This window comes from Homo sapiens, chromosome 5 (assembly GCF_000001405.40).
Source record: "Homo sapiens chromosome 5, GRCh38.p14 Primary Assembly".
NCBI lineage: Eukaryota > Metazoa > Chordata > Mammalia > Primates > Hominidae > Homo > Homo sapiens.
The window spans coordinates 179,576,058-179,603,744 of NC_000005.10; the positions used below are offsets into that span (position 1 = coordinate 179,576,058).

The 27,687-nt window shown below is 48.5% G+C and overlaps 1 protein-coding gene and 2 long non-coding RNA genes across 19 annotated transcripts in view, besides 1 other annotated feature; 2 read left to right on the forward strand and 1 right to left on the reverse strand.

The window, feature by feature from the left end:
• Positions 1–27,687, forward strand: part of LOC128966623 (uncharacterized) — a 130,785-nt gene that overhangs the window by 53,601 nt on the left and 49,497 nt on the right.
• The window catches only part of RUFY1 (RUN and FYVE domain containing 1), a 59,459-nt gene that overhangs the window by 25,504 nt on the left and 6,268 nt on the right, over positions 1–27,687 (forward strand). For 10 of the 17 annotated variants that reach the window (XR_245276.4, XR_245277.4, XR_007058642.1 and 7 more), the window contains 10 exons: positions 1,018–1,079; positions 4,890–4,955; positions 9,739–9,808; positions 13,489–13,590; positions 15,568–15,684; positions 17,421–17,588; positions 18,809–18,906; positions 20,505–20,624; positions 22,635–22,764; positions 25,835–25,929. Coding sequence is in view for 12 of the 17 variants with exons in the window: in NM_025158.5 (NP_079434.3) it covers positions 1,018–1,079; positions 4,890–4,955; positions 9,739–9,808; positions 13,489–13,590; positions 15,568–15,684; positions 17,421–17,588; positions 18,809–18,906; positions 20,505–20,624; positions 22,635–22,764; positions 25,835–25,929 (1,028 nt within the window). In the remaining 5 variants the exon portion in view is untranslated. Of the gene's footprint in view, positions 1–1,017; positions 1,080–4,889; positions 4,956–9,738; positions 9,809–10,271; positions 10,507–13,488; positions 13,591–15,567; positions 15,685–17,420; positions 17,589–18,808; positions 18,907–20,504; positions 20,625–22,634; positions 22,765–25,834; positions 25,930–27,687 lie in introns of those variants that run through there. The other 7 variants (XR_007058643.1, XM_006714921.4, XM_017009891.2 and 4 more) reach the window with 4 other exon arrangements.
• Positions 316–1,515: an enhancer, noted in NCBI's record as "CDK7 strongly-dependent group 2 enhancer chr5:179003374-179004573 (GRCh37/hg19 assembly coordinates)". NCBI's record gives its function as "activates an origin of replication core promoter dependent on BRD2, BRD4, P300/CBP, MED14 and CDK7 cofactors, with strong dependence on CDK7, by STARR-seq in HCT116 cells {active_cell/tissue: HCT116}" and the evidence as "EXISTENCE:reporter gene assay evidence [ECO:0000049][PMID:35650434]".
• Positions 19,847–27,684, reverse strand: RUFY1-AS1 (RUFY1 antisense RNA 1). The gene is made up of 9 exons (NR_110560.1): positions 27,550–27,684; positions 26,320–26,715; positions 26,007–26,209; positions 24,016–24,041; positions 23,428–23,578; positions 23,211–23,332; positions 22,196–22,298; positions 20,765–20,904; positions 19,847–20,536 (listed from the first exon to the last, which is right to left on the reverse strand). It is a non-coding gene; the product is annotated as an RUFY1 antisense RNA 1 (long non-coding RNA).

The following is a 27,687-nucleotide window of genomic DNA, read 5'->3' on the forward strand; positions in this document are numbered from 1 at the left end:
GGCATGAGCCACCGTGCCCAGCTTTTCTATATTTCTGCAAATGTATCTACTGCGTTCTTTGTTATAGTTGCATAGGTTCTGTGATATGGCTGTAACATGATTGATTTCAACTTTTCTCTATTGATGAACATTTAGGGTACACCCAGTTTTCCTGTATTTCAGATAAGAATGACCTCACTTATTCATTCTCAAGTGCTTTATTTCTTGGCAAAGCCGTTGATGTTTAGATGTGTAAGGGGTCTTGGTTCTCCCTTGTACCTAAGGGATAGAGAATTTTCCTGAAATATTGATTAGACCATTTTACCAAGATTTGGGGGAAGAAGGACTCAGAAATGTCAGTTAAGGTCACCACTTTATTTTTATCTTATTTTATTTTATTTTGAGATGAAGTCTCGCTCTGTTGCCCAGGTTGGAGTGCAATGGCACGATCTCAGCTCACTGCAACTTCCGCCTCCCAGGTTCAAGCGATTCTCCTGCCTCAGCTTCCCGATTAGCTGGGATTACAGGCACCTGCCACCATGCCTGGCTAATTTTTGTGTTTTTAGTAGAGACAGGGTTTCACCATGCTGGCCAGGCTGGTTTCGAACTCCTGACCTCAGGCAATCCACCAGCCTCGGCCTCCCAAAGTGCTGGGATTACAGGCGTGAGCCACCACGCCTGGCCAGGTCACCACTTTAGAGATCCAGAACTTTTTATTATTATTATTAATTACTTTGTACACAAATAATTTTGTTGATCTTTGTAAATAATGTGATTATTGAATAAACAGAAAACTAAACTAGGTCGTGAAATTTCAGAATAGTCTCTGAAATCTGATATCTAGTAAGTTTTTCTTCTAGAAGGTGGTAGGGTTAGGTTTTTTTGGTTTGTTCAATTGATTTCCACTTCATAGAGCTGGCTGACCTAAATAAATGTTCATAGGAAAGAGATAAGAATGAAATACCTGAATTTCAAAGGTTGTAAAGTTTATGAAAAATAGGACATTTTATTTAAACTTGTGCATTTTATTTCGTTTAGGTTGGAGTAATAGATTTTTCCCTCTACCTTAAGGATGTGCAGGATCTTGATGGTGGCAAGGAGTAAGTACTGCGTTGTATGTCACTTTTTTTTTTTTTTTTTTTTTTTTTTTTTTGAGACAGAATCTGGCTTTGTCGCCCAGGCTGGAGTCCAGTGGCACAGTCTTGGCTCACTGCAACCTCCGCCTCCCGGGTTCAAGCGATTCTTCTGCCTCAGCCTCCTGAGTAGCTGGGACTACAGGTGCGCCCCACCATGCCCAGCTAATTTTTGTGTTTTTAGAGACGGGGTTTCACCATATTGGCCAGGCTGATCTCGAACTCCTGACCGTGATCGGCCCGTCTCGGCCTCCCAAAGTGCTGGGATTACAGGCGTGACCCACCGCGCCCAGCCACGTCACATTTTTAATAAAATTCTGGCAAAGGCGGGTCTTTGGGGCTAGCGGAGGGCCGGGTCTCCGGACGGAAATTGCCGAAGACTAGCGGAGGCTCCGAGGCCGGGCGTGGTGGGGCTGGAGGGGAGGGCGGGGGTGGGGAGTTTCGGCCGAAAGAGCAAATCCGGGGCTGGAGGGGAGGGCGGGGGTGGGGAGTTTCAGCCGAAAGAGCAAATCCGGGTTGGACTGTGTGATTGGGCCCGGTGGTGTGGGCAGGGCAGGTTAGGTGTGTCCGCTCCTTTCACACTCACCGGTGGTCGGGCGGCGGAGGCGGTGGGAGCGCCGGAGTTGGATGTGCGCACATCGGGTGGTGTCCCCCGCCTGCCGAACGGGTAATGAGGCTCTTCTCTGCAGCAAAAAAAAAAAAAAAAAAAAATTCTGGCAAAGAACACTTTTCTTGTTTTTGCTTTGAGATTTTCTGTTTTGTTTAGTTATTTTTAAATACAGAAGCAGTGCATTATTCTCATTGTTTAAGGAATTTGGCTCTGCAGAAGAATAGAGTGTACAGGTGAAATTTCCCCATTCACACTGTCCCCTTGCCTCCATGTCAATCTCATTCCTCCCCTCAAAGGAAGACTGTTTAATGCCTTACAGGTATTTGTTGATCGTCTATTTTGCTTTACCATTGGTCAAATATAAATGGGATAGTATTATATAAGTTGCCCTTGGACTTGTTCTGTAATCATAGTGTTTTAGATTTGTTTGTTTGTTTTGTTTTGTTTTGTTTGAGATGGATTCTCGCTCTGTCGCCCAGGCTGGAGTGCAGTGGTGCAATCTCGGCTCACTGCAACCTCCGCCTCCCCGGTTCAAGCGATTCTTCTGCCTCAGCCTCCCGAGTAGCAGGGATAACAGGCGTTCCCCATCATGCCTGGCTAATTTTTTTTTTTTATTTTTAGTAGAGACCGGGTTTCACCATATTGGCCAGGCTGGTCTTGAACTCCTGGCCTCAGGTGATCCACCTGCGTCGGCCTCCCAAAGTGCTGGGATTACAGGCGTGAGCCACCGCGCCCAGTCTAGTATCTTTTTATGCCATTATGAAGCTCTCCCTCACCCTTGTTAACAAGGGTATTCTTTTATAATCAGTTACCCAAGGGAAAAAAACAATGTATAACATACTACCATTTATGTTGTTTGTTTGTTTGTTTGTTTGTTTTTGGAGACCGAGTTTCGCTCTTGTTGACCAGGCTAGAGTGCAGTGGCACGATCTTGGCTCACCGAAACCTCCACCTCCCAGGTTCAAGCGATTCTCCTGCCTCAACCTTCCTGAGTAGCTGGGATCACAGACATGTGCCACCATGCCTGGCTAATTTTGTATTTTTAGTGGAGATGGAGTTTCTCCATGTTGGTCAGGCTGATCTCGAACTTCCAACCTCAGATGATCCGCCTGCCTCAGCCTCCCAAAGTGCTAGGATTACAGGCGTGAGCCACCGCTCCCGGCCCCATTTATGTTATAATAAAAAAGGATATGCATACATATGTTTTACTTTCATATGTATGCATGGAACATTTCTAGAGTGGCGTATCAACCTTATAGTAGTGATTGCCTGTGGAGGCAGTCATGGGAGGGGGTTTTCACTGTAAACCTTGGGATCGCGTTTGAATATTTCACCTTGCGCATATGTTACCTGCCCTTCCATGTCTTCCTGAGGACTCTCACGGTCTGAGTGCCTGGCAGTGCACCTTACCAAAGAATGGACCAGCAAGAACCACACTAAAGCTTCATGCATCCTAAGTACAAGGGCTCACCCACTTGAAATTTAAACAAAATATATTCTTTTATTTCATATCAGGCCAAATACGTCAGAGGAACAAAATATATTCTTTTTTCTTTTTTTTTGAGACAGTTTTGTAGTTTCGCTCTTATTGCCCAGGCTGGAGTGTAGCGGCACTATCTGAGCGCACTGCAACCTCCGCCTCCCAGGTTCAAGCAATTCTCCTGCCTCAGCCTCCCAAGTAGCTGAGATTACAGGCGCCCGCCACCTCACCTGGCTAATTTTTTGTATTTTTAGTAGAGACGGGGTTTTGCCATGTTGGCCAGGCTGATCTCAAACTCCTGACCTCAACTGATCCATCTGCCTCAGCCTCCCAAAGTACTGGGATTACAGGCATGAGCCACTGTGCCTGGCCTAACAAAATATACCCTTTTCTTCTTCTTTTTTTTTTTTTTTTTTTTTTGAGATGGAATCTCTCCCTCTGTCGCCCAGGCTGGAGTGCAGTGGCACAATCTTGGCTCACTGCAACCTCTGCCTCCCGAGTTCAATCAGTTCTCCTCCTCAGCCTCCCTGAGTCGCTGGGACTGCAGGTGCATGCCACCACGCCCAGCTAATTTTTTGTGTGTATTTTTAGTAGAGACGAGGTTTCACCGTGTTGACCAGGCTGGTCTCAAACTCTTGGCCTCAGGTGATCTGCCCACCTCGGCCTCCCAAAGTGCTGGGATTACAGGTGTGTGCCACCACACCCAGCCACAGAATATACTTTTAATGTCAAAAGCTGAAAATAAACTGAGTATCTACCAGTCAGGAAATAATTGAATTAATTATGGAACATATGTAATATTCCACACTGTGGTATATTTTGCAGACGTAAGAAAGAATAAAGTGTATCTACTGGTATATTGAATGAGACTATACTATATTGAATGAGGAAAGTATGATGCTGAGGAGTACATATATCCCGTTTTTGTAAACAAATCAAAAAATTCCGTGTGTGTGTGTGTGTGTGTGTGTGTGTGTGTGTGTATATTTTTTTTTTTTTTTGAGACGGAGTCTCGCTCTGTCGCCCAGGCTGGAGTGCAGTGGCGCCATCTCGGCTCACTGCAAGCTCCGCCTCCCGGGTTCACGCCATTCTCCTGCCTCAGCCTCCCGAGGAGCTGGGACTACAGGCGCCCGCCACCACGCCCGGCTAATTTTTTGTATTTTTAGTAGAGACGGGGTTTCACCGTGTTAGCCAGGATGGTCTCCATCTCCTGACCTCGTGATCTGCCCACCTTGGCCTTCAAAAGTGCTGGGATTACAGGCGTGAGCCACCACGCCTGGCCAGTTTTTTTTGTTTTTTTTTTTTAATCCAAACTGGCCTAGACTTTAGACTGATGAGCTTCGTGTTTTGAAAAGTCCCGTGCGCTCCTTTCCTTCAGTAGTATAAGGGTTGTGTCGAGCCATTTGCGTGTGGCAAGTTGGTGTTTTCACCTTGCTTGCTCATCCTGAAACCTTGGTCTGCAGGGAGCCCACTCTCCTGGCAGCCTGGCCCTGGAGACGCTGACTACTGTGACCCAGGCTGGCTTTCTCTCTGTACTCTGGGATGTGGATGTTACTGAGCTCTGGCTGTCTCTTGGTTTCTTGAAGACATTGGTACTTCTACAAGGTGATTGGAATATTGGGGAACAGTTACAAAGTATTAACCATTAATAAAAAAAAGTTCTTCCTTCTTATGCTCCTTTTAAAAGGCATGAAAGAATTACTGATGTCCTTGATCAAAAAAATTATGTGGAAGAACTTAACCGGCACTTGAGGTAAGACTCCTTTTTTTTTCAATGTGACAGTTACATACTCGGTATCCTGTCATTGCTTCATGGAACTTCGAGTTGCCACGTATTTATAAATAACTTGTTTCCAAACCAAGACAAAAGGGTCATCATTCAGGCAACATTTATTTGTACAAACTGAAGAAGTATGATTTCTTCTTGATAAACTCTTGGGAAATCTTTATTCTGTGCTTTTTGCAGTTACATAATACACAGAAGTAACTACATTAAACCTTGACTCTCCATTCCTCGCCCCACAGCCACGTGGCTGGAAATCCCTTCATGGCAAGCACTGTTGCTGCTGGGAATCAGCACACAGCACCCAGTGCATTAGGCCAGGAAAAAAGAGTTGAAAACCACTGGGCTAGGCCCTCCAGAGCAATGTACTAGTGATCACCGGCATCTTTATCTTGATTTTTTTTTTTTTTTTTTTTTGCTGGAAATCTGTGGATGTGTTTCATGAAACACTAATCCTTGGAGGTATTTGTGGGGAATGTGGAGAGACATGTTATTCCCTTTCTGAGTCCCCTCTAGAGAGTACATTGCACATTACAGTTCTCCACAGTGGCCACCTCTCCGGCCCCAAAAGCCAGGTGAAGAAGCTGGCATGTTCCTCCCGGTGCAGTTACGGACACATTGCTCTGGGGCTGTTTTTACTTTTCTTTTTTTTTTTTTTGACAGGGTCTCACTCTGTTGCCCAGGCTGAAGTGTAGTGGCGTGATCTCAGATCACTGTAGCCTCGAATTCCCAGGCTCAGGCAATTGATTCTCCCACCTCAGCCTCCTAAGTAGCTGGGACTACAAGCACACGTCACCCCTCCTGGCTAATTTTTGTATTTTTTGTAGAGACAGTGCTCCGCCATGTTGCCCAGACTGGTCTCAAACTCCTGGGCTCAAGCAATCCTCCCACCTTAGCCACCCAAAGTGCTAGAATTACAGGCATGAGCCACCACACCCAGCCTGAGGCTCTTCTTAACTGTGATGTTGGCTATTTTTTGAAAGAGTTTTTTGGTCGATTACTAGTTTATTGAGAGTATTTATAAGAAATAGATATTAAATTTTAGAAAATACCTTTTAGTGTCCGTTAATGTAATCATGGTTTTCATCCCATAATCTACTGATGTGGTGTATTTTATTAATAGACTTCTTCATACTGGACCATTCCTGTATCACAGGAATAAACTCCACTTGATCATAATATTTTTTATTATGATTTTTTGAGACAAGGTCTTACTCTGTCACCCAGGCTGGAGTGCTGTGGTACAATCGTGGCTCACTGCAGCCTCCACCTCCCTGGGCTCCGGTGATTTGCCCACCTCAGCCTCCCAAGTAGCAGGAACTACAGGCATGCACCACTACACCTGGCTAATTTTTTGTATTTTTTGTAGAGACAGGGTCTCACTTTGTTGCCCAAGGTGGTCTCAAACTCTTGGCCTCAAGCAATCTTCCCTGGTTAGCCTCCCAACTGCTGGGTTATAGGCATGAGCCACCTCGCCCAGCCAGGATCATAGTTTTCATAATTCAATTATCCTTTTAACATGTAACCTGGTTGGGTGTGGTGGCTCACACCTGTAATCCCAACACTTTGGGAGGCCGACGTGGGTGGATTACCTGAGGTTGGGAGTTCGAGACCAACATGGGGAAACCCCATCTCTACTAAAAATACAAAATTAGGCAGGCGTGGTGGTGCGTGCCTGTAATCCCAGTTACTCGAGAGGCTGAGGCAGAAGAATCGCTTGGACCCGGGAGACGGAGGTTGCAGTGAGCCGAGATTGCACCATTGCACTCCAGCCTGGGCAACAAGAGCGAAACTCCATCTCAAAAATAAAAATAAAAATAAAAATAAACCTGACTTGCTGAAATTTTATAGTTTTCTTTCTCCGCCATCATATCAGGGTTATGTAGCATTGCAAAATGAATTAGTAAGCTTTTCCTTATGCCTGGGAACAGCTAGCTTCTAGATCATGGGCATTATTTGCCCCTTGTGAATATGAAGCAGCCAGGTGTGATGGCTCACGATTGTAATCCCAGCACTTTGGGAGGCCAAGGCAGATGGATTACCTGAGATCAGGAGTTCAAGATCAACCTGGCCAACATGGTGAAACCCCATCTCTACTAAAAATACAAAAATTAACCGGCATGGTGGCGGGCATCTGTAGTCCCAGCTGCTCGAGGCTGAGGCAAGAGAATCACTTGAACCTGGGAGGCAGAGGTTGTGGTGAGCTGAGATTGCGCCACTGCACTCCAGCCTGGGTGACAGAGTGAGACTCTGTCTCAAAAAAAAATTTATGAAGCTGAAAGCATTTATGAGGCAATACGTTGCTAGCTTTTCAGTTTTTACTTAGTTCATCTGGGTTTTCTTTTGAGGATATATCTTTTCTCATATAAATATATATATATATATATATTTTAAGACGGAGTTTTGCTCTGTCGCCCAGGCTGGAGTGCAGTAGCGCGATCTCGGCTCACTGCAAGCTCCGCCTCCCAGGTTCACGCCATTCTCCTGCCTCAGCCTCTCGAGTAGCTGGAACTACAGGCACCTGCCACCACACTTGGCTAATTTTTTGTATTTTTAGTAGAAACTGGGTTTCACTGTGTTAGCCAGGATGGTCTCGATCTCCTGACCACGTGATCCGCCCGCCTCGGCCTCCCAAAGTGCTGGGATTGCAGGTGTTGAGCCACTGTGCCCGGCCAGTCATTTATATTTTTATTTATTTTTATTTTTTATTTTATTTTATTTTTTTGAGACAGAGTCCTGCTCTGTCGCCCAGGCTGGAGTGCAGTGGCATGATCTCCGCTCACTGCAAGCTTCGCCTCCCAGGTTCACGCCATTCTCCTGCCTCAGCCTCCCAAGTAGCTGGGATTGCAGGCGCCCACCACCATGCCCAGCTAATTTTTTGTATTTTAGTAGAGACGGGGTTTCACCGTGTTAGCCAGGATGGTCTCGATCTCCTGACGTTGTGATCCGCCCGCCTCGGCCTCCCAAAGTGCTGGGATTACAGGCGTGAGCCACCACGTCAGGCCTATATTTTTAAGAAAAATATACAATTGGGGGGTATTTTCTAAATTATCAAGTTGGCACAGAATTGACAATTGTATACTCTTAAAACTTTCCATTCCCTCTGTATCTTTTGGTTTTTTTCCCTTTTTCATTTTGTGTCTTTGTATTTTTATATTTGTCCCCCGGTTCCTAAGCCTTGGTTCATTAGCCTTGCTAAGTTTATTTCTTTGTCCCCCACTCACTGGCAACAGGGACTGGTCTTTGGCAGCATGACCTGTTGCCCAGAAGTACAGGCTCTAGAGCCAGATTCCCTGGGTTCAGATGCCAGCACCCCTTTGTAGATATGTGAACTTGAGTGAATTCTTTTATATAAAATTATGGCTGCCTTGTCTGTAAAATGGGCTAACAGTAGGATCTACCTCATTGAATTGTGGGGAAGATTAAATGAGTTGATGCATTTAAAGTGCTTAGAGGCCAGGTGTGGAAGCTCATGCCAGTAATCTCAGCAGTTTGGGAGGCTGGGGCAGGAGGAGGATCACCTGAGCCCAGGAGTTCAAGATCAGTCTGGGTGACATAGTGAAACCTCACCTCTACAAAAAAATACAAAAATTAGCTGGGCCTGGTGGCAAGGTGGGAGGCCAAGGTGGGAGGATCATGAGCCTTGGAGGTTGAGGCTACAGTGAGCCATGATCACACCACTGCACTCCAGCCTGGGCGACAGAGCAAGACCCTGTTTCAAAAACAAAAAAAAACAAAAAAAAGTAGTACATGTTATTAAATAATATTTTTTAAATGGGGAAGGTGTAAAAGGGATTTAAAAACACCTTGGGACCGGGCGCAGTGGCTCACGCCTGTGATCCCAGCACTTTGGGAGGCCGAAGCAGGCAGATCACGAGGTCAGGAGATTGAGACCATCCTGGCTAACACAGTGAAACCCCGTCTCTACTAAAAATACAATTAGCCGAGCATGTTGACGGGCGCCTGTGGTCCCAGCTATTTGGGAGGCTGAGGCAGGAGAATCACCTGAACCCAGGAGGTGGAGGTTCCAGTGAGTTGAGCTCGCGCCACTGCACTCCAGACTAGGCGAAAGAGTAAGACTCTGTCTCAAAACAAACAAACAAAAAACACCTTGGATCCTTCTACCCAAAAATACTAATACCTTGTTAATGAATTTTACTTTAGGTATATGACTGCCAACACATTTTGGTTTCTATCACCATTTGTGTTGGGAGAAAAAAATTCTCTTTCCAGATGACTAAAAAAGAAATAGGCCGGGCACAGTGGTTCATGCCTGTAGTCCCAGCACTTTGGAAGGCCAGGGTGGGCAGCCTCACCTGAGGTCAGGAGTTCGAGACCAGCCTGGCCAACATGGTGAAACCCTGTCTCTACTAAAAATACAAAAAAATTAGCCAGGTGCAGTGGCACGCACCTGTAGTCTAGGCTATTCGGGAGGCTGAGGCTGGAAAATCGCTTGAACCCGGGAGGCAGAGGTTGCAGTGAGCCAAGATCACTCCACTGCACTCTAGTCTGGGCGACAGAGCGAGACTTTGCCTCAAAATAAAAAAAGAAAGATTAAATTTTCGGGACAAAACTTATTGAAAAGTATGTTGCAAATGTATATTTAGAATTCTCATCTTCTCTGAGTTAATTGGAGACCCTCTGCCTTTCCATTTCATACAGGAAATCTAGGAATCTCTCTTACTGTTTACAGATTGAGAAAACAGTCAGCTTGTATAAGTTTATGTTTACTTAATATTCTTATTTTCTACAGCTGCACAGTTGGGGATCTTCAAACCAAGATAGATGGCTTGGAAAAGACTAACTCAAAGCTTCAAGAAGAGGTTTGTAAGTTTTATTGAAATTTTTAGACAAAACAGAATGACCCAAGGTTAAGAGAATCTGTGTAGTCGGTCTGCGATAGCAGAGCTTCCTGCTGGTAGGAAGGGGACTTGCTAGCCTCCAGCTACCCCACGTGGGACAGGAGAATGTCTGTGTTCTGCTCTGTCCGAGGCTCCCAGTGAGACACTGCAGCGGATCACGAGCCAGTTCTAAGTGACTTAGATTTTATCACCTCAAAGTCATCCCATAGAAGGAAATTGTTCTTTGGAAGAGCCCAGCTTGTGTTGTGGAAGTGCCGTGTCTTCCTCTTTTTCTGCCCTTCCCATGATGCCGTGTGCCTCCCTGCTGCCCCAGAAAGCACAGACTCTGTCATAAGGAATAAGTATCCAGCCCACCCCTTCTGCTTTGGCCTCAGGAGCATGCAACCAGCCTCCCCACAGTGCGGTCTTTCTCTGCTTTCTCACTAGGAAGAGAGAATGAAAGGACAGGACAAAGGAGGGCTGAGCCGAGGAAGAGAGCTTGCTGCCAGCTGCCCGGCAGTCTCCTTGCTGGACACATCTTGTCTCCTGTTAGCAGGAGGGGGGTGCTCAGCCCTTCTGAGGCTTTCCACAGGTAGCAGTCCCCGGCTGCCCAGGCCTCCCACCTAGAAGGACAAGGGCTCTGAGAGGGGCTTGAGAAGGAACACCTCCACGGCATGGAGGTGGGTTACAGCAGAGAAGAGAGCCTCAGAGCCCATCTCTGTAATGAGGGACCCCGTGTAAGCCTCCCTTAAAGCTGACTGCTCCCTCCTGAGGCGCCAGCCCTGAAAGGCCTTCAGGAAAGGAGCTCAGATTTGTGTGAGTAGAAGGAAATTCAAGACGGTGTCACAGATGGGGGTGTCATGGGAGAAGCTTCATGGAACTTAGGATTGGAGGCTTCACAGTCACCTTGGTAGGCAGGCCTTTGAGCCTCAGGTCAGGCAGGTCGGTGGTTGAGCCTCACTTTTGTCACCTCCAAATTAGGTAATAATACATCCTTTACTGTTGCAAAGATTAAGACGAATATCTGGTAAATGTGCTCAGGACAACACTTGCCACGTGGGAGCACTCGAGTTGTTTGATTTTAGAACAAGCAGATTCCCTGCATCTCAGTCAAGATGGCGTGCTTTGATGAAGCTCCAATTGAGCTTTTGAAACTAAGCAGAGTTATGTGGGGTTTTTCTGCTTTTTGAGACAGGGTCTCACTCTGTCACCCAGGCTGGAGTGCAGTGGCGCAGTCATAGCTTACTGTAACCTCAGACTTCTGGGCTCAAGAGACCCTCCTGCCTCAACCTCCCAGTAGCTGGGACTACAGGTACACACCACCAACACCCGGCTAATTTTTTAACTCTTTGTAGAGACGGGATCTCACTTTGTTGTTCAGGCTGGTCTCAAACTCCTGGGCTAAAGTGACCCACCCACCTTGGCCTCCCAAAGTGCTAGGATTACAGACATGAGTCACTGAGCCCAGCTTCGGTTATGTTTTCTTTTTTCTTTCTTTCTTTTTTTTTTTTTTTTGAGACAGAGTCTTGCTCTGTCTCCCAGGCTGGAGTGCAGTAGTGACGTGATCTCCGCTCACTGCAAGCTCCCAAGCTCCACCTCCCGGGTTCACGCCATTCTCCTGCCTCAGCCTCCCGAGTAGCTGGGACTACAGGCGCCCGCCACCACGCCCGGCTAAATTTTTTTTTTTTTTTTTTTTTTAGTAGAGATGGCATTTCACCATGTTAGCCAGGATGGTCTCAATCTCCTGACCTTGTGATCTGCCCACCTCGGCCTCCCAAAGTGCTGGGATTACAGGCATGAGCCACTGCACCCAGCCAGGTTATGTTTTCTTTAAAGGCAAATGATTGTAATAGAAAATGTGCTTCAGGCAGGTGTGGTGGCTCATGCCTGTAAATCCCAGCTCTTTGGGAGGCCAAGGTGGAAGACTTGCTTCAGCCCAGGAGTTTGAGACCAGCCTGGGCAACATGGCAACACCCTGTCTCTACAAAAAATTTAAAAGTTAGCTGTGGTGACACACACCTGTACTCCCAGCTACTCGGGAGGCTGAGGTGAGAGGATCACTTGAGCCTAGGAGTTGGAGGCTGCAGTGAGACAGAGTAACACCCTGTCTCAATTAAAAAAACAAAGAAATGTGCTTAATGAAAAGCGTAGCCCTCTTCAGGGTGTGCTCTCTGCATCTCCAGAGAGTGGAATGGGAATTAGCTTATGGTTTTTGCCTGCTTCTTCCCTTCGGGCAAGTAACACGCCCTTTCAAGCCTTGGTGTTTCTTTTTTTGGGCACAGCAGTTAATGTGTAGAAACCCCAGGCCTGGGTTCTGAGTCTAAGTGGAGAGGAATTCTCAGGGGGTGTAGACACTGTTGACAGAGAAAGTGAGGAGTTCAGTGCTTCGAGGTCCCTCCACTAGTGAATGATGCCGAGAGCCAGCCAAGCACCAAGGACAGAGATCTTGCTTCTTTCTCCCCAGCTGCACCTTCCTCTCTGCAAGCTGTGTGATGAGGCTGGAATGAGGAGGGATGGGTTGGTGTGTTTACTCATCTGCCTTGCCTCTTGTGACAGCCTCTCCTTAGGCAGGTCCTGGACAGCGTCCTGCTTCTCTATGCTTTTCCCTCAGCCATGAGAAGTCCTTCCAGGGGAATAAGAGGTCCTCTTGGGCATATCTTCAATGATTTGTTTTTTATTCCTCCCTGCAAATTCTTTAATTCTCCCTCTAGTGATTTAAATATACTTTTACCGATCATTAGCTGGAAAAACTGGAAAGAAAGAAGAGTCAGGAAAAAAGCCCATAACCCCTTTACTAAGTGACAACTATTCTTGTCATTTTATTATTTGATTTGTATTGTTCCCAACTTTTCTTTTTTCTTTTTTGAGACAGGCTGTGGCTTTGTCACCCAGGCTGGAGTGCGGTGGCATGATCTCAGCTCACTGCAACCTCCGCCTCCTGGGCTCAAGCCATCCTCCCACCTCAGCCTCCTAAGTAGCTGGAATTACAGGCATGAGACATCACTCCTGGCTGATTTTTGTGTTTTTTGTAGAGATGGGGTTTCACCATGTTGCCCAGGCTGGTCTCGAACTCCTGGGCTCAAGCAGTCCACCCACCTCAGCCTCCCAAAGTGCTGGAATTACAGGTGTGAGCCACTGTACCCAGCCACTCCATCTTTTCTTAAGCATTTTTAACCTAGTTGATTTTTTTTTAATACAGGTGAGAGCATACCATATAACCTTTTTTCCTTATTAGTATTATATCTTAAGTATGTTCTCAAGTGATTAAAAGTTTTTGTAAACATTTTATTGAGTACATGTTTGTTTTATGCTTCCACTATGATGTAACTATTTCCCTAATAGTGAACATTCAGGCTGTTTCTAATTTTTTGTGTCTATAAATCTTTGTCCACATTCAGCAATATGCTATCATTTTTGTAGAGGGAGAAAATCTGGAGAGGGCAGAGATGGCTAGGGGCAAGGGCGGAGGAGAGATTTTACTACATACATTTTCATGTCTTTGGAATTTGGAACCATGTATTATTACCTATTGAAAACAAGGAAATAAAATATCAAACCTGTGAACATACATTGTCAACTGTGAAGATGCCAAATTAATGTTTTTAATTTGAACAATAAGATTAATTTTGATGTTAAGAACTGTAAAAATTTTCCTTAATCAGCTTTCAGCTGCAACAGACCGAATTTGCTCACTTCAAGAAGAACAGCAGCAGTTAAGAGAACAAAATGAATTAATTCGAGAAAGAAGTGAAAAGAGTGTAGAGGTGAGAAATTGACCTACATTTGGGCAGCATGTTTCTCACTCAGACACACCTATTGTCAATCTCAAGCTCATGGCTTAACAACAACCCAGTCTTCAGAATGCAAAGGTGCCTTGCTTATGTCAGAAAGGGCCTCTCACTGCGGTCCCTGCCCACATCACTCTCAGACCACCTGGATCCCTTGGACGGGGACTCCCTTCATGGCCTGTGGGCCTTTGCATGCCAAAGTTCCTACTCGTTCTTCAGCATCCACTCACCTGCCATGTCCTCCATGATGTCATCCCAGGAGCCGTGGGCGGGCCTGGGCCATCCTCCTGTATTCCCATTGCTCTTTGTGTCCTTCCATGATACAGTCCCTTTGCTGTTTTGTAGAATTGTTGGCTTGCAGCTCTATCACATGATGACTTGAGGATAGAAACCATATCTGGGCCGGGCACAGTGGCTCACACCTGTAATCCCAGCACTTTGGGAGGCCGAGGCGGGCGGATCACGAGGCCAGGAGATCGAGACTGTCCTGGCTAACACAGTGAAACCCCGTCTCTACTAAAAATACAAAACAGTTAGCTGGGCGTGGTGGCAGGTGCCTGTAGTCCCAGCTGCTCGGGAGGCTGAGGCAGGAGAATGGTGTGAACCCGGGAGATGGAGCTTGCAGTGAGCTGAGATCGCGCCACTGCACTCCAGCCTGGGCCATAGAGCAAGACTCCGTCTCAAAAAAAAAAAGAGAGACCATATCTGATTGACTTCTAAATTCACTCAGTGCTAAAAACATGTTCATAAGTACTGGATGATGAGTTGAATGAGGGTTTTTCCTGCGAATGGAGTCTTGTTCTGTTTTTGTTGTTGTTGTTTGTTTGTTTCTAGACAGAGTCTCCCTCTGTCGCCCAGGCTGGAGTGCAGTGGCGTGATCTCGACTCACTGCAAGCTCCGCCTCCCAGGTTCACGCCATTCTCCTGCCTCAGCCTCCCCAGTAGCTGGGACTACAGGCGCCTGCTACTACGCCCAGCTAATTTTTTTCTATATTTTTAGTAGAGACGGGGTTTCACCATGTTGGCCAGATGGTCTCGATCTCCTGACCTCGTGATCCACCCGCCTCGGCCTCCCAAAGTGCTGGGATTACAGTCATGAGCCACCGCACCCGGCCAAGTCTTGTTCTGTTTTAAAGAAAATTAAATTTAAATTGCTTTATCAATGTAACTTTTTTTTTTTTTGGAAACAGAGTCTTGCTGTCACCCAGGCTGGAATGTAGTGGCGTGATCTTAGCTCACTGCAACCTCCACCTCCCGGATTCAAGCGATTTTCCTGCCTCAGCCTCCCAAGTAGCTGGAATTATAGGCACATGCCACCACACCCGACTAATTTTTGTATTTTTAGTAGAGACAGGGTTTCACCATGTTGGCCAGGCTGGTGTCAAACTCCTGACCTCAAGTGATCTCCCGCCTTGGCCTTCCAAAGTGCTGGGATTACAGGCATGAGCCACCACACCCAGCCTATGAACTTAACTTTTCAAATATCTATTGACTTATTCTCATTCTTCTTTTTTTTGTTTTTTTTTGGTGGGGGGATGGAGTCTTGCCCTGTCGCCCAGGCTGGAGTGCAATGGCACGATCTTGGCTCACTGCAAGCTCTGCCTCCCGGGTTCACGCCATTCTCCTGCCTCAGCCTCCCAAGTAGCTGGGACTACAGGCGCCCACCACCACGCCCAGCTAATTGTTTGTGTTTTTAGTAGAGACGGGGTTTCACCATGTTAGCCAGGATGGTCTCGATCGCCTGACCTCGTGATCCGCCCGCCTCGGCCTCCCAAAGTGCTGGGATTACAGGCGTGAGCCAATGCGCCCAGCCAAGTTTTAACCTTTTTCTACCATGCTTAAAAAATAAAAATTACCTTACATTTTTTAAAATTGTGGTATATTTTGAAATACTTCATAATTAGCTTGCTTTCCATAAGCAAACAATTCCTCTTGGTGTCCTTGTTTGATACAGATAACAAAACAGGATACCAAAGTTGAGCTGGAGACTTACAAGCAAACTCGGCAAGGTCTGGATGAAATGTACAGTGATGTGTGGAAGCAGCTAAAAGAGGAGAAGAAAGTCCGGTTGGTGAGTGTGCAAGACCGAGTGTCTTTAGAAAGAGTTTCCCCGTAGTGTTAATTCTGTCAACACTTTTCATAGACATGCTTCACCATCCTGATGGTCATAGAAAGTCAGAAGCTGTTCATTAAAAAAATTTTTTTTAAGTCTATGGTTACAACTCAGTTGTGCATTGTCACTCATATTTTTTCCCATTTTATAAATATTTTTTGTTTGTTTGGGTTTTTTTTCAAGACGGAGTCTCACTCTGTTGTCCAGGCTGGAGTGCGATGGCGCGATCTTGGCCCACTGCAAACTCTGCCTCCTGGGTTCAAGCAGTTCTCTGCCTCAGCCTCCCGAGTAGCTGGGATTGCAGGCACCCGCCACCACACCCGGCTAATTTTTTGGTTTTTGGTTTTTTTTTTGAGACGGAGTTTCACTCTTGTCGCCCAGGCTAGAGTGCAGTGGTGTGATCTCGGCTCACTGCAACGTCTGCCTCCCAGGTTCAAGCAATTCTCCTGCCTCAGCCTCCAGAGTAGCTGGGACTACAGGCATACGCCACCATGCCTGGCTAATATTTGTATTTTTAGTAGAGATGGGGTTTCACCATGTTGGCCAAGATGTTCTCCATCTCCTGACTTTGTGATCCGCCCGCCTGAGCCTCCCAAAGTGCTGGGATTACAGGCCTGAGCCACCGTGCCCGGCCAGTTTTTTGTATTTTTAGTAGAAACGGAGTTTCACCATCTTGGGCAGGCTGGTCTTGAACTCCTGACCTCGTGATCCACCTGCCTCGGCATCCCAAAGTGCTGGGATTACAGGCGTGAGCCACTGCGCCTGGCCATTTTATAAATCTTTACAGGGATTGCTATGAGACCAGATTAACGGTTTCTTTGACAATACAATTCTCTCCGTCATAACCTCTGGCCTATTTATTTCCACTCAACCTGTGCATCAGTGACCAGAGTTACTTGTAAACACTGTTCTTGTACCTGCTTTATTTCTTTGCTTCTTTGCATGGATGCAGGGAAACATGTCCTGGGTCAGGACAGAACCATTTCGAAATGGTTGCACTTTTGTTGCTATAAACTAGCAAACCATTCCAGAAATTCTAACATTGCACTATCAGATCTCTTCCAGCACTCAAACGAGACAGATATTCTTTGAAAACATGCATTCTGATCTGTGGGTATGGAAAACATGGTTGCTGGAACCTAGGCTCATCCTGTTACTGACCAGCTTTCTGTTGACTTGATGTGGAGTCAGCTTTAACCGTGCAGTGAGGAAAAGGGCAAACACCATCTACTCCTGCCCCAGACAGACTCTTTTCAATCTCCCTAAGCTATTCTCACCTTCAGTTTGTTTGTTTTGTTTTGGTTTGTTTTTTTCTTTAAGACAGTCTCACCCTGTCACCCAGGCTGGAGTGGTGTGATTTCGGCTCACTGCAGCCTCCGCCTCCCGGATTCAAGCAATCCTCCTGCCTCAGCCTCCTGAGAGTAGCTGGGATTACAGGCGCATGCCACCACACCCAGCTAATTTTTGTATTTTTAGTAGAGATGGGGTTTCGCCATCTTGGCCAGGCTGCTCTCGAACTCCTGGCCTCAAGTGATCCGCCCACCTCAGCCTCCCAAAGTGCTGAGGATTACAGGCATGAGCCACCACACCCAGCCTTCAGTTTGTATTTTAAGCATTACCTGAGATTCAACCCCAGTTAAATACATTTCTGTGATCTATTTTAATAACATTTTCCTTGTAAATATCCTTTTAAGGAACTGGAAAAAGAACTGGAGTTACAAATTGGAATGAAAACCGAAATGGAAATTGCAATGAAGTTACTGGAAAAGGACACCCACGAGAAGCAGGACACACTAGTTGCCCTCCGCCAGCAGCTGGAAGAAGTCAAAGCGATTAATTTACAGATGTTTCACAAAGCTCAGGTGGGAGTTGGCTTTGTGTCCATGGCACAGCCTGGTTTCTGCTGCTCGCCAGTCTTGTGTCATTCTTCTTACAAAATGAGCGAGTAGACACATAGAGCCCCTCGTATGTGTCAGACCTGCTCCTAGGACCTATTATGATTTTGATCCTCATGGCAGTCCCTGAGAAATGGGGGGAAATGTAAGTGACAAGGCAGAGCCAAGTCACTAAGTCACATGCCCCTGGTGACGTAGCTTCTAAGGGGAGACGTGGGTCTTTTTAACCCAAACCCAAACTTTGTCCATCCACCTTCACTGTCCCTCCACTGTCTGTTTTCTTCTATTTCAACGATTTATTGTTTATAGCAAGCATGGAGGAGAGAATTAAAGACGTCATTTAGAGCCAGGCACGGTGGCTCACGCTTGTAATCCCAGCACTTTGGGAGGCCGAGCGGGCAGATCACGAGGTCAGGAGTTTGAGACTAGCCTGGCCAGCATGGTGAAACACCGTCTCTACTAAAAATACAAAAATTAGCTGGGCATGGAGGTGCACGCCTCTAATCCCAGATACTCAGAAGGCTGAGGCAGGAGAATTGCTTGAACCCGGGAGACAGGTTGCAGTGAGCCGAAATCATTCCGTTGCACTCCAGCCTGGGCAACAGAGCGCAACTCCAACTCGGGGGAAAAAAAAAAAAAGTCATTTAGTATTGTCTTTTCAAACTTTGCCGCTAAGTTAATCTTTCTGAGTCTTCCGGGCCACATAGGTAGCTGGTTGCCTCTCCTGTGTCATTTCAGGGTGGTCCAAGGGAACTGTCCCAGACAGAACCAATCATGCCAGATTTTGAAAAACAGCATCTAGTCCGGGCGTGGTGGCTCACACCTGTAATCCCAGCACTCTGGGAGGCCAAGGCAGGCGGATCACGACGTCAGGTGTTCGAGACCAGCCTGGTCAACATAGTGAAACCCCGTCTCTACTAAAAATACAAAAAATTAGCCAGATGTGGTGGCGGGCGCCTGTAGTCCCAGCTACTTGGGAGGCTGAGGCAGGAGAATGGCGTGAACCCGGGAGGCGGAGCTGGCAGTGAGCCAAGATCACGCCACTGCACTCTAGCCTGGGTGACAGAGCAAGACTCTGTCTCAAAAAAAAAAAAAAAAAAAAAAAGCAAATAAGCCCTGTTTGTAATCCAGAGCAGGTGCAAGGATGTGGGACAGGCAGAGTATGAACCCTTCCTTTGCTTTTGTAGAATGCAGAGAGCAGTTTGCAGCAGAAGAATGAAGCCATCACATCCTTTGAAGGAAAAACCAACCAAGTTATGTCCAGCATGAAACAAATGGAAGAAAGGTAATCACTTCCCCCTGGCAGATATTCTCGGGAAGGCTCTGAGCATTCCCTGGGCCTGGAGACTTATTCAGAGTCCCTCTCCAAAGTGCAGGGGAGAGGCTGGGCGCGGTGGCTCACGCCTGTAATCCCAACACTTTGGGAGGCCGACGCGGGAGGATCACTTAAGGTCAGAAGTTCAAGAACAGGCTGGCCAACATGGTGAAACCCTGTCTTTACTAAAAATACTAAAAATTAGGACGGGCGCGGTGGCTCACGCCTGTAATCCCAGCACTTTGGGAGGCCGAGGCGGGCGGATCACGAGGTCAGGAGATCGAGACCATCCCGGCTAAAACGGTGAAACCCCGTCTCTACTAAAAATACAAAAAATTAGTGGGCAACAAGAAAGAAACTTCATCTCAAAACAAAACAAAAAAAGGAGGGGGCAAAAGACTTGAAACAGATACTTCATCAAAGACAACATATGGACAGCAAAAAAGTACATGAGATGATATTCAGATCATGAGCCACTAGAGAAGTGAGTGGCACAATCCCACCACACATCTGTTAGGGCAGCTACGGTTTCTTTTTGGTTTTTTGTTTGTTTGTTCTTGTTTTTTTTTTTTTTTGAGCCAGAGTTTCGCTCTCATTGCCCAGGCTAGAGTGCAATGGTGCGATCTCAGCTCACCGCAATCTCTACCTCCCAGGTTCAAGCAATTCTCCTGCCTCAGCCTCCCAAGTAGCTGGGATTACAGGTGCCTGCCACCATGCCCGGCTAATTTTGTATTTTTGTAGAGATGGGGTTTCTCCATATTGATCAGGCTGGTCTCGAACTCCCGACCTCAGGTGATCTGCCCACCTAGGCCTCCCAAAGTGCTGGGATTATAGGCATGAGCCACCACACCTGGCCAGCTACCGTTTCTTTAATGACAATACCAAGTGCTGATGAGGACACGGAGCTAATGGATCTCTCATACTTTATTGGTAGGAATGCAAAATGGTGCAACCACTCAGGAAAACAGTTTCTCAAGAAGCTAAACGTCCTCTTACCATATGATCCAAATAGAAATGAAACTTATGTCTACACCAAAACTAGTACATATGTTTATAGCAGCTCCGTTCATAACTGCCAAAAGCTAGAAGCAATCCCAATGTTCTGCATTGGGTGATGGATAAACAAAGTGGTACGTCTGTGCGGTGAAGTATGACTCAGCCGTAGAAAGGAATGAACCACTGCCCTTTCAGGACGTTCAGAGAGGAAACAAAAGGCATGAACCATTGATACACATGGAAACTTGGATTGATCTCCAAGACATTATTCTGAGAAAAAGTCAGTCTCAAGGTTATATAATGTATAATTACATTGAGATTACATTCTCAAAAAGCCAAAGCCATATTGTTGCAGGACAGATGAGTGGTTGCCAGGGGCTGAGGTGGGGAGTTTTGGGAGTGGTGGGACCGTCCTGTATTCTGATTGTGGTGGAGCTGAATCTCCACGTGTTAAAACTCACAAGAGTTAATTTTACTGTATGGTAATTTTAAAAATGAATTTCAGCCAGCAAAAGTCATCCTTTCCTTACAAAGATTTGCTTCATTTGCACTCTTGCTGGTGTCGCATCCAGGTTGCAGCACTCGGAGCGGGCGAGGCAGGGGGCTGAGGAGCGGAGCCACAAGCTGCAGCAGGAGCTGGGCGGGAGGATCGGCGCCCTGCAGCTGCAGCTCTCCCAGCTGCACGAGCAATGGTAGGGGCCCTGCAGGGAGCCTGGGCTGGGGTGTGGCTCAGGAGGGACTGGGAAGAACTGGGGACAGGTGGTATCCTGCTTCAGCACGAACGGGAGGAGGGGGGGCGGGGGGGCAGGTGGTATCCTGCTTCACCACTCACCCCTGCAGGGTTCGTATGTTATCCCTAGGGAGCTCCCTCCCCACAGGGCTCCTCACGTGGTCCAGCTCGCCTCCAGAAGATCTGGCCACTCTCAAACCATGGTACCAGGTCACAGCCTGTATCACCCTTAACCACCCTTTCTAAAAAGAAACAGCTTTGTCAGTGTTGAACAGAAAGTCACCTTTCACCTAGCCTTTGCTGATGCAAGCTTCATATAATTTTGTGCACAGTTCATCTACAGATTTTTTATTTTTTAAGTCTCACTCTGTCATCCAGGCTGGAGTGCAGTGGTGCAGTCTCAGCTCACTGCAACCCCCACCTCCTGGGCTCAAGCGATTCTTGTGCCTCAGCCTCCTGAGTAGCTGGGACTACAGGTGTACATCAACACACCCGGCTAATTTTTGTGTTTGTGTTTTGTTTTGTTTTTTTTTTGAGACCGAGTCTCACTCTCTTGCCCAGGCTGGAGTGCGGTGGCGCGATCTCGGCTCACTGCAACCTCTGCCTCCCGGGTTCACGCCATTCTCCTGCCTCAGCCTCCCGAGCAGCTGGGACTACAGGCATCAGCCACCACACCTGGCTAATTTTTTGTATTTTTAGTAGAGACGGGGTTTCACTGTGTTAACCCAGGATGGTCTCGATCTCCTCACCTCGTGATCCTCCCATCTCGGCCTCCCAAAGTGCTGGGATTACAGGCGTGAGCCACTGCGCCCAGCCTAATTTTTGTATTTTTATTAGAGACAGGGTTTTGCCATGTTGGCCAGGCTGGTCTCAATCTTCTGGCCTCAAGTGATCCACCCGTCTCGGCCTCCCAGAATGCTAGGATTACAAGTGTGAACCACCGTGCCTGGCCTATAGATTTTTTGAGATAATATATATGCCAAGTTAAAAGCCTGATGTTGAGAGAAGAGAGAAGAGACATCTTTATTCCCACAAAGAGAGAGCAGACTCCAGGCGGTCCAGCAGTGCCCCCAGGGCCACTCAGCTGGTAAAGGGCAGAGTCAGCTTCAGGCTGAGGCTCCCTCCTGGCCTTCTCCCTCCAGGATCCTTCATTGTCAGTCTGGCTGTAGGTTGTAGAAAGCAGAATGAGGCCGGGCGCGGTGGCTCACGCCCATAATCCCAGCACTTTTGGGAGGCCGAGGCAGGGAGATCACGAGGTCAGGAGTTCAAGACCAGCCTGGCCAACATGGTGAAACGTCATCTCTACTAAAAATACAAAAAATTAGCTGGGCGTGGTGGCGTGTGCCTGTAATCCCAGCTACTAGGGAGGCTGAGGCAGGAGACTAGCTTGAACCCAGGAGGCAGAGGTTGCAGTGAGCCAAGATTGTGCCACTGCACTCCAGCCTGGGCGACAGAGCGAGACTCCGTCTCAAAAAAAAACAAAAAGCAGAATGAATTGGCCAGTGAGGTGGCTCATGCCTGTAATCTCTGCACCTTGGGAAGCTGTGGCGGGAGGATCACTTGAGCCCAGGAGGTCGAGGCTGCAGTGAGCTGAGGTTGCGCCACTGCACTCCAGCTGGGGTGACAGAGCTAGACCCTGTCTCAAAAAAAGAAAAGAACGAATTTTGAGCTTCCTTTCCTCAGGTCTCCATGTCGGGAGGGTTCTGCTTATGTGGTCTAAGTGTTCTAGAGCTCTCTTCCTTCTCCCCTGCGTAAGTGTCAAGTGTGTGCCTGCAGGCTTTTCTCTCCCTGGTTCCTGCTCTTTCTTGTGGAAGGGCAGGTGACCCTGGAGGAGAGGGAAGCGTTGCCGAAGGCTTTAGATGCTCAAGAGGCAATTCAGAGACTTCCCTGTTTCCTGGGCGGTGAATTGGGTTGTGAATCTTCCGTGAAAGTCTCCCACTGAGACTAACTCAAGTTCATTTTGGGAAAACAGCTCAAGCCTGGAGAAAGAATTGAAATCAGAAAAAGAGCAAAGACAGGCTCTTCAGCGCGAATTACAGCACGAGAAAGACACTTCCTCTCTACTCAGGATGGAGCTGCAACAAGTGGAAGGACTGAAAAAGGTGAGGTGGGCCATCCCGGGAGAGGAGAGCCTCTGGCAGCCTCCAGAAACCCCTAACATGCTCCGGGCAGGCTCCTCTCCCCGCACCCTTTGTGTGGGGGCCAGGCGGCTCCAGGGTGTGGGGAGGCTGTTAGGGAGCTCCTGTTTTAGGAGCATAAGACAAAGACAAATCATAAACCACTAAGCCTGCTGGCAGCTCAGATAGAGGCAAGTGCCATGAAGAGAATAAAGCAGAACAGTGTCCTCACCCGTGTGCAAGGGGCCTGGGGAGGGAGCGACCGGTGAGCAGAGGCTCCAGTGAGTTATGCCCTGCAAAGCACCTCTTGGGTGGAGACTGCAGGAGCAGACAGCAGTGTGAGGAGCAAAGAGGCGGCCTCAGGCGGCAGGCAGGAGGAAGCCCTTCATGGGCCCTGGGAGCCAGGGGAAGGAACGTGGGTTTTATTTTACCAGAGTGGGCAGCTGGTGGAGGGACAGGATCCGTTCTGTTTGCGGATGGTCATTGGCTCCTGTGTGGAGAGTGGGTGGTAGGCTCGCAGGAGAGGAAGCTGGGAGGAACCAGTAAACATCTCCTACCACATGCCAGCCTCACCTCAGCCACTGTGCCCAGGGTCGGGTCATCCCTGGGAAGCAGACCGACCCCAGCCCTCCACTTCCCCTACATCACCTCAGTTCCATGGAGGACCCTCTCACTTGGAGGCATGGCCTGGATGCTGTGGGCTTCAGAGGGCGAGAGAAGTGGGGTCCAGCAGGCCTTCACTGTCTGGCTGTGGAACTGGACCTCCCAGGAAACTCCGAGGCCGTGTGGAACATTTGCCCTAATGTAAAATCATCGGCTGTTTTCCCAGAGGGGAGGAGGCTCTGCGATCCTGGATGGAGCTGACTGCAGCCTGGGGCGCTCTGGGGGGCTCCTCCCACGTGGGGATGGCGTGCCCTCTTCTCAGGCCCCTGCGCTGCCGAGCGCTGCAGGAAAACTGAGCCCAAAGCAGACCTCCCCTCGGCACCTGCCCCGGAGGGGCCTTCAGGGCCAGGGTGGCTTCTGGACCTGGATTTTGTTGTGTTGAACGTGGTAATGGACACACTGCACGATTCGAGCGAGTCAGGAAAGGCCCTTTTGATTTCCATTGGAAAGTGCCTGGAGTTGTTGGGGAAGGGAGAGCTTCCTCAAGAGCCAGATCAGGCTTGGAGAGTGGAAGGGAGGAAGTGGAGGGCAGAAGAGGACTTTCAGAAAGTCCCGCCTCATCACGGGGCATACCTCCTTTATTCTGCTTCAGAATGCTTCTGTCAAAAGATTCGAATTACACAATTACAGCCCGCCCCAACAATAGGAACAAAACAATGTCTAATAACCCCAGTTAAGCCACAGCTTTGTGCTTTGCAAGCCTGTGCATGGAAGCAGAAGCTACGGCACAGGGTGTGCAGAGAGCCACCCCGCCACTCGGGCCCGAGCTCCACCGCTGCTCCCAGTGGTCCCAGAAACCCCAGTTACTTTCTGGGTCTCCATCCTGGCCTTAACAGACTGGCTCAAGGTGCACTGGCCCCAGGTGTCAGTGCCGTTGCCCCCTGGGGAACTCCCTCCGTGCAGGGCTCCTCACATGGTCTAGCCAGCCTCCAAGTGGTCTAGCCATGAAATGAGGTCCCAGGTCACCCCCTTCATCATCCTTGACCAGTGCTTTCCAAAAAAGCAGCTTTTTCAGAATTGAACAGGAAACCACCTTTCAAACTAGTCTTTGCTGATGCAAGGTTCGTGTGATTTTGTGTACAGTTCTTCTATAGATTTTTTGAGATAGCAATCTGTTTTGTAAAATGTTTATCTTTTAAAAAGAAGCTCAAATAGGCAAAGCCTCATTTGTCCTATGATGGTAACTTTTTTTTTTTTTTTTTTTTTTTTTTTTTTGAGACGGAGTCTTGCTCTGTTGCCCAGGCTGGAGTGCAGTGGTGTGATCTCGGCTCACTGCAACCTCCGCCTCCCCAGTTCAAGCGATTCTCCTGCCTCAGCCTCCCGAGTAGTTGGGATTGCAGGCATGTGCCACCATGCCCTGCTAATTTTTGTATTTTTAACTAAAGGAGGGGTTTTGCCATGTTGGCCAGGCTGGTCTTGAATGCCTGACCTCAGGTGATCCGCCCACCTCAGCCTCCCAGTGCTGGGATTACAGGTGTGAGCCACTGCGCCCAGCTGAGGGTAACTATTTTTAATGTGGCTGATGAATGTAACTATCCTGTCCCATGTCTCTGTCCCCAGCTGCAGAGCCCTCGTCGAGTGCTTGCCTTTTAGCTGCCCAGTGTCAAGAGTAAGCTAGCAAGAAATAATCTTGAATGACATTAATACAGGACTGCATTTTGCTCTTTTTTTTGGTTTTGTTTTGTTTGAGATGGAGTCTTGCTCTGTCGCCCAGGCTGGAGTACAGTAGCACCATCTCGGCTCACTGCAACCTCCGCCTCCCGGGTTCAAGCAGTTCTCTTGCCTCAGCCTCCCAAGTAGCTGGGATTACAGGTGCCTGCCACCACACCCAGCTAATTTCTGTATTTTTAGTGGAGACAGGGTTGCACCATGTTGGCCGGGTTGGCCTCAAACTCCTGACCTCAGGTGATCCACCTGTCTTGGCCTCCCAAAGTGCTGGAAGTATAGGCATAAGCCACTGTGCCTGGCCACCTTTTGCTCTTGAAAAACATTCTGATCTGCTTGTTGCTCTGGTTGCTGAATCTTTTTTTTTTTTTTAAAGGCCAGTGCAGTGGCTCACGCCTGTAATCCCAGCACTTTGGGAGGCCGAGGCGGGCAGATCACGAGGTCAGGAGTTTGAGACCATCCTGGCCAACATGGTGAAACCCCGTCTCTACTGAAAATACAAAAATTAGCAGGGCATGGTGGCGGGCACCTGTAGTCCCAGCTACTTGGGAGGCTGAGGCAGGAGAATCGCTTGAACCCAGGAGGCGGAGGTTGCAGTGAGCCAAGATCGTGCCACTGCACTCCAGCCTGGCAACAGAGCAAGACCCTGTCTCAAAAAAAAAAAAAAAAAAAAAAAAAAGGACCGTGTAATCCTCTGTCCAGCATCTGGTTGGTTTGTTCATTTTAGGAGTTGCGGGAGCTTCAGGACGAGAAGGCAGAGCTGCAGAAGATCTGCGAGGAGCAGGAACAAGCCCTCCAGGAAATGGGCCTGCACCTCAGCCAGTAAGAACCCCACTCCCCTTGTCTGCCACTGCAGGCACACCAGGCTACCCACCACATCCCTCAGGCCCCAAACCTACCTCCTTTTGGCGAACGGAGGGTGGGCCATTTAGGAGCTCAGTCCGCCGTTCACGGATGAGCTCTCAGGAAGCCCGGCCTCAGAGGGGCCCAGCACTGATCTCTGCTACCCACATGGGGTGTCAGCGAGCTCTTAGTTAATTCAGGAAGCACGTTCATTCCTAGTGACCAGGACACTCCTATTCCTTAGCTTCATATCCAGGGCCTGAGGGAACAGATGGGCAATGAGAGGATCGCTTGGTCAGCCTACAGTCAGGCCAGAGGGAGCAGGGCTGGTTTGGGAACGGAAGCCTGGCACAGTAGAGGTGCACTCACCCGCCTTGCACAGCACAGCCCCCTTCCTTTCGGGGAACTGGCCACTGCATCCGCCAGAGTCTGTCTGTCTCTGCTGCAGGTGCTGATGGGGTGCAGACCCTGGTAGTTCTGCTCCCCTCTGACTTGACAGCTCTCCTCCTTGGTGTCCCAGTCTAGATAGGTTGCTGTGGACGCCTGGGCCTTGGGGTGGATCACACTGCGGACTGTGGAACTTGCCCATTTGTGTGATGATTCTGCATTTTCAACATAGTGGGTAGCTTTTCTCCTCGAGTCAGGGCGCATGGTTGCAAGTAACAGAAATCCAACTCAAAGTGGCTTAAGCAAAAGAAGCCATCAGGAATCGGTCTCTGTCTCCTACCTCTGCTATCCTGTCTGCCTCACAGGTGGGTCTGGACCCTGCAGGGGCAAAACAGCACTCAGCAAGGCCATCTATCAGAGGAACAAACTCCCTCTTCTTTGTGCATAGCTGCCAGGATCACCCGAGATTGACCCTGCTCCCGAGTACCCATGCCTGACATAAGCACCATGACCAAGGAGATGGGGCTCACGACCTCAGCACAGCCTGGTCTGCACCAGAAATTTGTAGAGTCTAGTACTATTAAGAAAATAGGCCGGGTGCGGTGGCTCACGCCTGTAATCTCAGCACTTTGGGAGACTGAGGTGAGCAGATCACCTGAGGTCAGGAGTTCGAGACCAGCCTGGCCAACATAGTGAAGCCCCGTCTCTACTAAAAATACAAAAATTAGCCAGGCATGGTGGGCACCTGTAATCCCAGCTACTCGGGAGGCTGAGACAGCAGCATCGCTTGAACCCGGGAGGCAGAGGTTGCAGTAAGCCGAGATTGCACCACTGCACTCCAGCCTGGGCAACAAAAGTGAGAATCCATCTCAAAAAAAAAAAACAAATAGCTGGTCAGGGAATCTGATGTCTCTGGTGGGAATGCGGTCTGCCCACTCCCAGATGCAGGTGCTGGCCACTCGCCGTCTCTCCTGTGCCTCTTACCTTTCTAGACTAGCCCATGGCCGCTGCTTCCTCCCCTCCCACCCTCCGCCCTGCCTGCCACCCACTCAGCTGAGTGCCCTGTGCTGCTCCCGTCTGGCCTGTCAACTTGCCGTGCTCTGGCCCGTTCCTTCCCAACCCCCAGGGAGCTCCTTGAGGGACGCAAGGCCCAGTGTCTGTCCCCATGCTCAGAGCATAGGCCAGCTGTGAGGGCATCCCGAGAGCACTCACCAGAAGCAGACGTGGAACAGAGCTGGCGTGGAGCTGGCTTCTGGGGTTTGCAGCCAGTGTTTTCCTCTTTACATTGGATGGACAGCAAGGCAGTGTCACAGGTCCCCTCCTAGTGGACCATAGACCTCGAAACTGTGG